General features: G+C 41.7%; 1 annotated feature.

Annotated features, from left to right (window-relative positions):
• Positions 12,153-13,352: an enhancer, noted in NCBI's record as "CDK7 strongly-dependent group 2 enhancer chr5:156499176-156500375 (GRCh37/hg19 assembly coordinates)". NCBI's record gives its function as "activates an origin of replication core promoter dependent on BRD2, BRD4, P300/CBP, MED14 and CDK7 cofactors, with strong dependence on CDK7, by STARR-seq in HCT116 cells {active_cell/tissue: HCT116}" and the evidence as "EXISTENCE:reporter gene assay evidence [ECO:0000049][PMID:35650434]".

The following is a 13,635-nucleotide window of genomic DNA, read 5'->3' as shown; positions in this document are numbered from 1 at the left end:
TAAGTCTTTAATCCATCTTGAATTAATTTTTGTATAAGGTGTAAGGAAGGGATCCAGTTTCAGCTTTCTACATATGGCTAGCCAGTTTTCCCAGCACCATTTATTAAATAGGGAATCCTTTCCCCATTGCTTGTTTTTCTCAGGTTTGTCAAAGATCAGATAGTTGTAGATATGCGGCATTATTTCTGAGGGCTCTGTTCTGTTCCATTGATCTATATCTCTGTTTTGGTACCAGTACCATGCTGTTTTGATTACTGTAGACTTGTAGTATAGTTTGAAGTCAGGTAGCGTGATGCCTCCAGCTTTGTTCTTTTGGCTTAGGATTGACTTGGTGATGCGGGCTCTTTTTTGGTTCCATATGAACTTTAAAGTAGTTTTTTCCAATTCTGTGAAGAAAGTCATTGGTAGCTTGATGGGGATGGCATTGAATCTATAAATTACCTTGGGCAGTATGGCCATTTTCACCATATTGATTCTTCCTACCCATGAGCATGGAATGTTCTTCCATTTGTTTGTATCCTCTTTTATTTCATTGAGCAGTGGTTTGTAGTTCTCCTTGAAGAGGTCCTTTACGTCCCTTGTAAGTTGGATTCCTAGGTATTTTATTCTCTTTGAAGCAATTGTGAATGGGAGTTCACTCATGATTTGGCTCTGTTTGAACTCAAACAAATTTACAAGAAAAAAACAAACAACCCCATCAAAAAGTAGGCAAAGGATATGAACAGACACTTCTCAAAAGAGGACATTTATGCAGCCAAAAGACACATTAGAAAATGCTCATCATCACTGGCCATCAGAGAAATGCAAATCAAAACCACAATGAGATACCATCTCACACCAGTTAGAATGGCAATCATTAAAAAGTCAGGAAACAACAGGTGCTGGAGAGGATGTGGAGAAATAGGAACACTTTTACACTGTTGGTGGGACTGTAAAGTAGTTCAACCTTTGTGGAAGTCAGTGTGGCAATTCCTCAGGGATCTAGAACTAGAAATACCATTTGACCCCACCATCCCATTACTGGGTATATACCCAAAGGACTATAAATCATGCTGCTATAAAGGCACATGCACACGTATGTTTATTGTGGCACTATTCACAATAGCAAAGACTTGGAACCAACCCAAATGTCTGACAATGATAGACCGGATTAAGAAAATGTGGCACATATACACCATGGAATACTATGCAGCCATAAGAAATGATGAGTTCATGTCCTTTGTAGGGACATGGATGAAATTGGAAATCATCATTCTCAGTAAACTATTGCAAGGACAAAAACCCAAACACCGCATGTTCTCACTCATAGATGGGAATTGAACAATGAGAACACATGGACATAGGAAGGGGAACATCATACTCTGGGGACTGTTGTGGGGTGGGGGAAGGGGGGAGGGATAGCATTAGGAGATATACCTAATGCTAAATGACGAGTTAATGGGTGCAGCACACCAGCATGGCACATGTATACATATGTAACTAACAGGCACACTGTGCACATGTACCCTAAAACTTAAAGTATAATAATAATAATAATAATAATAATAATAATAATAATAATAATAATAAAAGAATCTCACTCTGTCGCCCAGGCTGGAGTGCAGTGGCATGATCTTCACTCACTGCAGCCTTGACCTCCTGGGCACAATTCACTCTTCTGCCTCAGCCTCCCCAGTAGCTGGGACTATAGCCATGCACCACCATGCCAAGCTAATTTGCATAGTTTTAGTAGAGACAAGGTTTCACCATGTTGGCTAGGCTGGTCTCAATCTCCTGGGCTCAAGCAATCCCCCCTGCCTCGACTTCCCAAAGTGCTGGGATTTGAGGCGTGAGCCACCGTGCCCGGACTAAATATTTTTGGAGTGAAAAACTTAAATAATCAGAAAGGTAGCTTTCTGGAAGACTTCCATTAGACAGCTCAGAGAGAGTGTGACTCTGCAAGTTCACTTCTTAGGGAACTCACAAATACCCAGAAGCTCCCATATTCACTCTTTTGTTTGTTTGTTTGTTTTGAGACAGAGTCTCACTCTGTTGCCCAGGCTGGAGTGCAGTGGCACAATCTCGGCTCATCACAACCTGTGCATCCTGGGTTCAAGCGATTCTCCTGCCTCAGCCTCCCAAGTAGCTGGGACTACAGGCATGCACCACCACACCCAGCTAATTTTTGTATTTTTAGTAGAGACGGGGTTTCACTATGTTGGCCAGGCTGGTCTTAAGCTCCTGACTGTGTGATCTGACCGCCTCGACCTCCCACATTGCTGGGATTACAGGTGTGACCCACTGTGCCCAGCCCCATATTAACTCTTATCCAGGCCAAAGTGGCCTTTGTTTCTCAACATTGTTCAGCTCAGGCCTTTGTTGGGGTCTTACTCTTTTGTCTATTTCCTTCTTTCTGCTGAGCCATCCTCAGCACATCGGAATGAATTAACAATATGGGCCTATCACTGCCTAAAAACTGGTCCTCCCCAGGTGATGACTAAGCTGTGATTGTGTTGCATGCAGAAGATGTTGGCCAGCAAGGCTGTCGCCAGCCTGCTTGTTTCTAGAAGTCTTTCTGACAGTCTCGTGTGAATTAGAGCATTGGGCTGCATCTAGATAGTTTCGGGACAGACTGACATTCTGTAGGCAGATACGTAAGGGAGATCATTTTGCAAAATTAATTGTAGGGAACAGCTCTCATACAGGCTAAAAAATTAATCTGAACTGTCTTTTTAAATTTTTTGACATAGAGTCTTGCTCTGTCGCCCAGGGTGGAGTGCATTGGTACAATCTTGGCTCACTGCAACCTCCACCTCCTGAGTTCAAGTGATTCTCCTACCAAAGCCTCCCAAATAGCTGGGATTACAGGTGCACATCACCACACTCGGCTAATTTTTTGTATTTTTAGTAGAGATGAGGTTTTGCCATATTGACCAGGCTGGTCTCGAACTCCTGACCTCAGGTGATCCACTCGCCTCGGCCTCCCAAAGTTCTGGGATTACAGGCGTTGGGTTATCGTGCCCAGCCCATAAGTGTCTTAATGCCATGAAATCCTAGTGAGAAGAAACTTCACGACACATTTGAAGCAGATCAATGGTCCCCCTCAAAAGACATTCTTATCCTACCAAAATCTTTAAATAAGGGTATGTGTACAAGGCTGATCATTGCAATGGTGTTTGCGGAGATTTTTACAATGAATAAGGGAATTGTTGATTACAGTGTTATGTCAATACACTGGTGCAAGTAAAAAGAATTAGGTGGTTTTATCATTAAGCTTTTTTGCTAAATCAACAAATACTTATTAAATGCTTACTGTGTGCCAGGCACTTTGTTTGGTGCTGGGACCACAGAAGGGGACCAAATAGACACATTCCCGGCTCCATTCCATTCAACTCCTAGTTGATCTGACAGCAAGGAGGATTTGTGTCCTTTCATTCATTCAGTGAAAAAAAAAAAAAAATATATATATATTTATATACTACTAATATATATATTTATATACTACTATATATTTATATACTACTATATATATATTTATATACTACTATATATTTATATACTACTATATATATATTTATATACTACCTATATATATGTATATATACTACTTCTTCTTTTTTTTTTTTTCCGTCAGGTCAACTGGGAGTTCCATGGAGCCAGGGATGTGTATATTTGGTCCCCTTCTGTTTTTTTTTTTTTTTTTAATTTTTAAGTTTTTTTTTTTTGAGACAGAGTCTCACTCTGTTGCTCAGGCTGGAGTGCAGTGGTGCAATCTTGGCTCATTGCAGCCTTCGCCTCCTAGGTTTAAGCGATTCCCCTGTCCAGATACTCACTGGAGTAGCTGGAATTACAGGTATGCGCCCCCATACCTGGCTAATTTTTGTATTTTTAATAGAGACGGGGTTTCACCATGTTGGTCAGGCTGGTCTTGAACTCCTGGCCTCAAGTGATCTGCTCGTCTTGGCCTCCCAAAGTGCTAGGATTACAGCCGTGAGCCACCACGTCTGGTGCGTTCAGTGAATATTTGTTGGCACCTACTTTATGCCAAACAGTATTCTAGTCTCCAGAAATATAGCAGTGAATGAAGCAGTCAAAAATCCTTGCTGTCTGGAGCTTACATTACTTATCAGAGAATGCTACGTAGTTAAGTTCAAAGGAAAATAAAAAGGGTTCCATAATAGTATATATATATATCTGTTGAATTTGTTTTTGCCGTAAAAACATGCAAGAATATACCCAAATAAATATGGTTACTGAAGGAGACAAATAGTGAAGACTCACTTTTCCCTTTTTCATGTTTCTGCTATAGTTTGAATTATTTTCTTCATTTTCTTTTGTAATAAAAAAAAATTAAGCACTATAGCAATGTTTTTCTGTCTGCCCTCCTCATCAAAGAAATAAATGCAGACAAGGTCAAGGTCAAGATCAAGGTCAGCAGTAGAGTGTAGCAGCAAGCCAGGACTGGAACTCTGGTTTTCAAGGTGGAATCTCCCTTTACATCAAGTATTTGGAATGGGAAAGATGGACACAGAAAAACAAAAAAGGGAGGGGAATTACTACAAAGGGCCAAGGAGATGGCAAATGATAACTTAGAGAATTAAAAACAGCTGGGCGAGGTGGCTCATGCCTGTAATCTCAGCACTTTGGGAGGTCGAGGCGGGTGGATCACCTGAGGCCAGGAGTTTGAGACCAGCCTGGCCAACATGATGAAACCCCGTCTCTATTAAAAATACAAAAATTAGCCAGGCACGGTGGCGGGCACCTGTAATCCCAGCTACTTGGGAGCCTGAGGCAGCAGAATTGCTTGAACCCGGGAGGCAGAGGCTGCAGTGAGCCAAGATCGTGCCATCGCACTCCAACCTGGGGACAAGAGCAAAACTCTGTCTCAAAAAAAAAAAAAAAATTAAAAACAGTGCAACATAGACCAATGTTGGGGAGCCACGTATATACACTGCCTCAGGCCACACCAGGTGTTCCTGCACAGCAGTTCCCAAGCATGTGAGACAGATACATTCTAAGGGAAGAGGCCCATGTGCCTGTCTTTTGCTGCATAAGCAAGGCTTTTCTAGCAATACTAGATCCCACTAAGAAACTCCCACGCTGGCATCTGAGCTCCTGATCAGCTGATGGAGCTCCTGATTTGACAAAGGAGCTTGCCTCCTTTGAATGACCTAGAGTACAGGGAGGAACTTGTCCATTAGTTTGGAATTGTGTTCTTCATAAAGACTGAGGCAAGCAAGTGCTGTGAAATAACATCTTAGTCCCTTGGTGTGTGTGTGTGTGTTTTATATATTTGAAGCATAAAACTTCATATAAAATTAAAATAAAAAAATGCAATAAAATTGAATGTGTGGTTTGCTCTTAGAAATGCCTTAGGATTTTTCTTCCAGAGCTGCCCACAGAAAGCCCACAGGCTCTGAAAAGGGGGAGAGTCCCTGATCTTTTTTAGACTGAAAAAAAGTAAAGTCTACTGTGTTTTATCTGCCCATCACTTCTAGATTTAGAATTCCCAAGGCAGAAATTCCAAGCAGGTCAATTGCTCATTAATTGATTCAGATAACATCAAGTCAATTTATGTAAATGAAAATTGTTTTTTTCCTTTTTTAATGTTATGAGAGAATGTATATATGGAAATCACTTATTGAATTTTTTTTTTTTTTTTTTTTTTTTTTTGAGACAGAGTCTCACTCTGTCGCCCAGGCTGGAATGCAGTGGCGTGATCTCGGCTCACTGCAAGCTCCGCCTCCTGGGTTCATGCTATTCTCCTGCCTCAGCCTCCCGAGTAGCTGGGACTACAGGCACCCGCCACCTTGCCCGGCTAAATTTTTGTGTTTTTAGTAGAGACGGGGTTTCACCGTGTTAGCCAGGATGGTCTCGATCTCCTGACCTCGTGATCCGCCCGCCTTGGCCTCCTAAAGTGCTGGGATTACAGGAGTGAGCCACTGCGCCTGGCCTGAATTTTTATTTTTATTATTATTTTTCATTCTGCCATCATGTGGATAAATTTTTAAACAGGAACAATTTAAATGCATTAAAATGCTCTCTTTTTTTCTTTTTTCTTTGAGACAGATTTTTCCCTCTGTCTCCAAGGCTAGAGTGCAGTGGCGCCATCTTGCTCACTGCAACTTCTGCCTCCCAGGCTCAAGCTAATCTCGTGCCTCAGCCTCCCCAGTAGCTGGGATTACAGGCACGCACCGTCATGCCCGGTGAATTTTTTGTATTTTAGTATAGACAGGGTTTTGCCATGTTGACCAGGTTGGTCTCAAACTCCTGGCCTCAAGTGATCTGCCCACCTTGGCCTCCCAAAGTGCTGGGATTACAGGCATGAGCCACCACGCCTGGCCAAAATGCTCTCATTTTAAGCAGACAATTTAAATTCCGCAAATAGTCCAGGCATGGTGGCTCACGCCTGCAATCCCAGCACTTTGGGAGGCCAAAGCAGGCAGATCACCTGAGGTTAGGAGTTCGAGACCAGCCTGGCCTATATGGTGAAACTCAGTCTCTACTAAAAATACAAAAATTAGCCAGGCGTGGTGACAGGTGCCTGTAATCCCAGCTACTAGGGAGGCTGAGGCAGGAGAACTGCTTGAACTTGGGAGGCAGAGGTTGCAGTGAGCCGAGATTGTACCATTGCACTCCAGCCTGGGGGACAAAAGTGAGACTTCATCTCAAAAAAAATAAAAAATAAAAATAAAATAAATAAAATAAAAAAATTCCACAAATATACACCTATGTAAATACTACCCCAAGCAAGATATAAAACATTTCCACCATCTCAAAATATATTTTGAAGTTCAAAGGGCCCTCCTGTCTACTTCCAATGATAATTTATTGATTTAAAAAAATTAAACTGAACACAAATTAATTTTGTGTCCTGATTTCTACTGAAAAAGTCTGGATGCTTCTAGAGATAATTAGAGATGCCCTAGAGTAGTCACTTGCAAGATTTTCTATCATCATTTTCTGGAACTCAGTTGGAAAGTGGGGCAGAGGAGAGAGGCAGCTACCCAGTAGGCTGGGAGGTTCTTAAGTTTTAGGAGGGCTTGGATTTTGCTTGATTTTCAGTGGAAAAGCTGTGCAAGGGAGAATATCAATCAGATGTTAATTTTAGGCTTCTATTAGGTTGGTGCAAAAATTACTGCAGTTTTTGCCATCGAAAGTAATGGCGAAAACCGTAATAACTTTTGCACCAACCTAATAGAGCCTCTGTATCTTTTTCTCAGCCATATAGACTGCATTTACAAAGGTTATTCCAAGCAACTCACCTACTCATAGTCATGAATCTCTCGTGAATTAACATTCCAATTTCTTTTGCTTAAGGTGTGACTCTTTTTACAAAGAGAGCAGTGAGACTGAAAAAAAAAAGGCTATTTAAACTATTCACATGTGGTGGTGGTGGTATGAGCTCATCTGTTTAAATGTGCATATTATTATTATTATTATTTAATTTTAATTTTTTTTGTTTTTTGAGACAGAGTCTTGCTTTATCACCCAGGCTGGAGTGTAGTGGTGGGATTTGGCTCACTGCATCCTCCGCCTCCCGGGTTCAAGTGATTCTCCTGCCTCAGGCTCCTGAGTAGCTGGGATAACAGGCACGCGCCACCCCATGCCCAGCTAATTTTTGTATTTTTAGTAGAGATGAGAGTTCACCATATTGGTCAGGGTGGTCTCAAACTTCTGACCTGGTGATCCGCCTGCCTAGACCTCCCAAAGTGCTGGGATTACAGGCATGAGCCACCATGCCCGGCCATGAAATTAATTTTAAGAATATATTTTATTTAACTCCATTCATCTAAACTATTATTTCAATATGGAATAAAGATAAAAATAATTAATGAGGGCTGTGCGTGATGGTGCACACCTGTGATCCCAGCACTTTGGGAGCCTGAGATGGGCAGACCACCTGAGTCCAGGAGTTTGAGACCAGCCTGGGTAACATGGCAAAACCGCATCTCTATAAAAATGCAAAAATTAGCTTGGTATGGTGATGTGTGCCTCTAGTTTCAGCTACCTGAGAGGCTGAGAGGTAGGAGGATTGCTTGAGCCTGGGAGGTCAAGGCTGTAGTGAGCCAAGATCACGCCATTGCACTCCAGCCTTGGTGACACAGGAAGACCCTGTCTCAAAAAAGAAAATGGGGGAGAGAGTTTATGTTCTTTCATTGTAAATTTTCAGAATTCAGTAAAAATTCAGTGTGCACTTTACATTTAAAGCACATCTCAGTTCTGACTAGCTGCATTTTAAGTGCTCAGTAGCTACGTGTGGCTAGTGGCTACAGTATTAGACAGCACAGTTCTGCACCATTCTCTATTCTCACTCTCTCTCTCTCTCTCTCATTTATTTATTTATTTTATTATTATTATTTTTTGAGACAGAGTCTCACTCTGTTGCCCAGGCTGGAGTGCAATGGTGCAATCTTGGCTCACTGCAAACTTTGCCTCCCAGGTTCAAGCGATTCTCCTGTCTCAGCCTCCTGAGTAGCTGGAATTATAGGCGCCCACCATCACACCTGGCTAATTTTTGTATTTTTAGCAGGGACAGGGTTTCAACATGTTGGCCAGGCTGGTCTCAAACTCCTGACCTCAAGTGATCCTCCCACCTCGGCTTCCTAAGGTTCTGGTATTACAGGCGTGAGTCACTGCACCTGGCCCTGTTTTTTAAAAATAGAGATGGGGGTCTCACTATGTTGCTTAGGATGGCCTTTGACTCCGGGGCTCAAGCAATCCTCCCACCTCAGCCTCTTAAAATGCTGAGATTGCATAGTAGCTTTTGGGTAGAAGTTAAAAAACCAAACCAAAACAAGAACCTCCAAAAATAACAAAGTGCTGGATTACAGGCATGAGTCACAGTGAGCCACGATGCCCAGTCTGTCTCTCATACACACACATACACACAAACAGATACAGGTTGTAACTTACTTTTTTTTTTTTTTTTAACCATTTGTAGAAGGCTATTAGTCCATGTCAGAATATTTGGGAGAATACCTTTTATTTAGATAGCTACATAGTATTGAGTAGAATAAACATGTATGTTCTATTAAATCATTTCCCTATTGAAATATATTTATTTTCTTTCTCTGTTTCAAATAAGGCTCTAAGGAACATCCTTTATACAAAAACTTACATGCATTTGTGTATTTTCAAGGTATAGAGGTCTAGATACAGAATTGCTTTGTCAAAGGTTATGATGCTGGTGGAAGTATTATGACTATAAAACAATAATATATATTTCAAACCAATATGCTAGCAAGTGTATAGCTAAATATATACCATCTGTTTCAAGGCAATCATTTTAGAAAACCACATTTTAATTCCAGCATGTTCGTTCACTAAAAATAATTTGGTTTTGCTTTTTGAAATTTGACTTAAAAACCAGTTTAAGCTAAAAAATCTAGGTCAAGTGAGTCTCATGAGGCTTGCTCTTTTGTAATCAGAGTTATTTTTATTTTTTGAGGCAAGATCTCGCTCTGTCACTCAGGCTGGAGTGCAGGGGCTTGATCATGGCTTACTGCAACCCCCACCTCTTGGGCTCAAGCAATTCTCCAGCCTCAGCCTCCTAAGTAGCTGAGACTACAGGTGCTTGCCACCACGCCTGACTAATTTTGGTATTTTTTGTAAAGACAGGGTTTACCATGTTGGCCAGGCTTGTCTTGAACTCCTAAACTGAAGTGATCCACTCGCCTTGGCTTCCCAAAGTGCTGGGATTACAGGCGTGAGCCACCGGCCCCAACCTGTAATCAGAGTTATTTTTATCTCTCATTCATCTGTTTCTGTCTTTCCTCCCTTCTCTCTTTCCTTCCTTCCTTCCATCCATCTGTCCATGCATCCATCCAAGAAATGGCTTCCTAATTGGTAGCCACCTAGTCCACTTTTGCTCTCCTGGTAGTTCATTCTCCTCACACAGTAGCCTAAGTATTTCCAGTATTTCCTTTTTCTTTTTTTCTTTTTCTTTTTTTTTTTGAGACGGAGTCTTGCTCTGTCATCACTCAGGCTGGAGTGCAGTGGCACGATCTCGGCTCACTTCAACCTCGCCTCCCAGGTTCAAGTGATTCTCCTGCCTCAGCCCCCCAAATAGCTGTGACTACAGGCACACACCTCCATGCCTGCCCAGATAATTTTTGTATTTTTAGTAGAGATGGTGTTTCACTATGTTGGCCAGGCTGGTCTCGAACTCCTGACCTCGTGATCCGCCTGCTTAGGCCTCCCAAAGTGCTGGGATTACAGGCGTGAGCCACCGCACCTGTCGTTTTTTTCTTTCTTAAATCATTAACTGGATTCAATTACTCTTATTTAAAACCTTTCCATAGCTTGCCATTGAACTGAAAGTCTGCTGACCTCACCAACCACTCCTTATTCTCTGTTTCAGCCACACTGATGTTTCTGCTTCTAGAACAGCCCATGTTCTTTCTGATTCCAGCCCCTTTTCAGGCCATTTCCTCTCTTCAGAATACTTCTCTAAGACTGTTGGTATAAAGCTTCCCCTTTCTCATCTTTTGGTTTCTAGTTTAAATTTCTTTTTTTTTTTAATTTAAATTTTTAATTTTACTTATTTATTTTTGGGACAGAGTCTTGCTCTGTCACCCAGACTGGAATGCAGTGGCGTGATCTCAGCTCACTGCAACCTCCTCCTCATGAGTTCAAGCGATTCTCTGCCTCAGCCTCCCGAGTAGCTGGGACTACAGGCGCACACCACCACGCCCGGCTAATGTTTTTTGTATTTTTAATAGAGATGGGGTTTCCCCATGTTGCCCAGGCTGGTCTCAAACTCCTTGCCTCAAGTGATCTGCCCGTCTCGGCCTCCCAAAGTGCTGGGATTATAGGCGTGAGCCACAGCGCCCAGCCTAAATTTCATCTAAGAGCTTTTCCCCAACCACCAAATCTAAGTAACTATCTTCCCATCTCTAATTCAGTTGGTTTCCTACATAGTTTGTTCCAATCTGAAATTCTCTTGCTTACATTTTTCTGTGTGTGTGATCTATCCACCCCAACCCTCAACTGGAAAGTAAACTCTATCATTCATGGCCTCTATCCCAGGGGCCTAGTACAATGCTTGGCTTACAGTGGGTGTGAAATAAGTATTTGTAGACTGAATGAATGAATGAACATATGCCTGCTGTATTGCAAACACAAGCTGTGACACAGGCACCACAAAAAGGTTTACGTTTTTCCTTCAAGGAAGTCAGAATATGGCAGGGCAACCTGATCCCCAAGAATATAGTTACAATAAAAGGCAATAAGCATATAGCAGACCCACACACTAGAATCTGAATGATACAGAAAAGGGCTTTTTGATGATGTCTTTAAATAAAAATTTAAAGACATTTAAATTTTATTTAAATAAAAAAATAAAAATTTAAAGACATCACCAAAAAGCCCTTTTCTGTATCATTCAGAATAAAAATTTCTGGAAATACAAATCCTTAGCTTTACCACTTGCCTAACTTAACTCTGTAAAACTCCAAATGAGTCTCATAGAATAAGGTTGCCTGGCACATAGCAAGTGCTCAGTAAATATAAATGGGTGAATGCATAAAGTGACAGAGGTGACGCAGATTCTAACAGCAGTCCCTCAAATAAATATATATAGTTGACTCTTGAACAATATGAGGGCTAGTGGCACTGATCCCCTGTGCAGTTGAAAATATGCATATAACTTTTATCTCTCTCTCTCTTTTTTTTTTTTCTCTTTTTGAGACGGTCTCACTCTGTTGCTCAGGCTGGAGTGTGGTGGCATGATCACTGCTTACTGCAGGCTTGACCTTCTGTAAGCAATTTTCCCATCTCACCCTCTTTAGTAGCTGGAACTATATGTGTGTGCCACTATGCCTGGCTAATTTTTGCATTTTTTGTAGAGATAGGGTTTTGCCATGTTGCTGAGGCTGGTCTTAAACACCTAGGCTCAAGTGATCCTCCTGCCTTGGCTTCCCAAAGTGCTGGGACTACAGGCATGAACCATCGTGCCCGGGCTGCATATAATTTTTGACTCTCCAAAAAATTTGCTAACAGCCTACTGTTGACAGGAAGCCTTACTGATAATGTGAACAGTCTATTAAAACACATTTTTGTATATTATATATATATGCTATATTCTTAAAGTAAGCTGGAGAAAAGAAAATGTTACTAAGAAATCCTATGGAAGACAAAATATATTTACTGCTCATTATAAGGATCATCCTCGTCGTCTTTCCATTGAGTAAGCTCAATGTGAAGGAGGAGGAGGAAGAGGAGGGGTTGGTCTTGCTGTCCCAGGGGGAGTAGAGGTGAAAGAAGTGGAGATGGAGGTGAGGCAGGAAAAGCAGGCACACTTCGTATAACTTTTACTGAAAAAAATCTGCGAATAAGTGGACCCTTGCAGTTCAAAGCCATGTTGTTCAAGGGTGAACTATAGTGACCGGATGTATTTTCTTTGTAGAAGAACATGTGCTTTGTGGTATAGCGCTTTTATGTTTATTAAAGCATTATTTCATAATCTTCCATCTTTCTAGATGCTTGGTGATGTCCGAGTCTAGCTTTTGGCAACTTCAGCTGCTATCTTTTCTCTCTGTCTTTCTGGGTTAAAGAAAAGGATGATTGTAATTAGGCTGTGAAAAATGAAGTACATTATGTGAATGTAAAAGAACTTCCACTTATGGCTGGGTGAGGTAGCTCACACCTGTAATCCCAGCACTTTAGGAAGCCAAGACAGGAGGACTGCTTGAGCCCAGGAGTTTCAGAACAGCCTGGGCAACATAGTGGGACCTTGTCTCCACAAAATATAAAAAATATTAGCAGGGTGTGGTGGCTGGTGGCATGTGCCTGTCGTTCCACCTACTCAGGAGGTTGAGGTGGGAGAATTGATTGAGCCCAGGAGGTCGAGGCTACAGTGAGTCATGTTTGTGTCACTGCACTCCACCCTGGGTGACAGACAAACACCCTGTCTCAAAAGAAAAAAAAAAAAGAACATTACTTTTGCAAGAATGTACAGTTTTGGGATTGGGTTTTGCTTTTTGTCGTTGTTGTTAAAACACTTTGCATGCATTATGTTATATAAACAGTATATTGGTACATTCTTGTAAAATACTGAAATGATACATAAATGGCTGGGCACAGTGGCTCACACCTGTAACCCCAGCACTTTGAGAAGCCAAGGTGGGCAGATCACCTGAGGTCGGGAGTTCGAGACCAGCCTGACCACATGGAGAAACCCCGTCTCTACTAAAAATACAAAATTAGCCAGGTGTGGCGGTGCATGCCTGTAATCCCAGCTACTCGGGAGGCTGAGGCTGGAGAATCGCTTGAACCTGGGAGGCAGAGGTTGCGGTGAGGTGAGATAGTGCTATTGCACTCCAGTCTAGGCAACAGGAGCGAAACTCCCTCTCAAAACAAACAAACAAACAAACAAGTGATACATAAATATATAGCCTCAAACTGAAAGTTCCTCTTGTCTCAGCTGGCTTCGCTACCAGATAGGATACTCTGACCTGACTAGTTTCGTAGATTCTTTCCTGTAACTTTTCCGTATAGGTACATATACATATATACATACATATGTGTCATTTTGTTGTAGCATTTTTGCAAAAATGGATTCCTATAAACTAGGTGGTGGTGGTTGTGTGTGTGTGTTTGTGTGTGTTTTAAATTGTGTTTTCCTCTCACCTCAGCCTCTCAAGTATCTGGGAC

The sequence above is a fragment of the Homo sapiens genome, chromosome 5, assembly GCF_000001405.40.
Source record: "Homo sapiens chromosome 5, GRCh38.p14 Primary Assembly".
Lineage (NCBI taxonomy): Eukaryota > Metazoa > Chordata > Mammalia > Primates > Hominidae > Homo > Homo sapiens.
The sequence above is the reverse complement of the archived record's forward strand: the minus strand, read 5'-3'. Positions and strand labels throughout refer to the sequence as shown.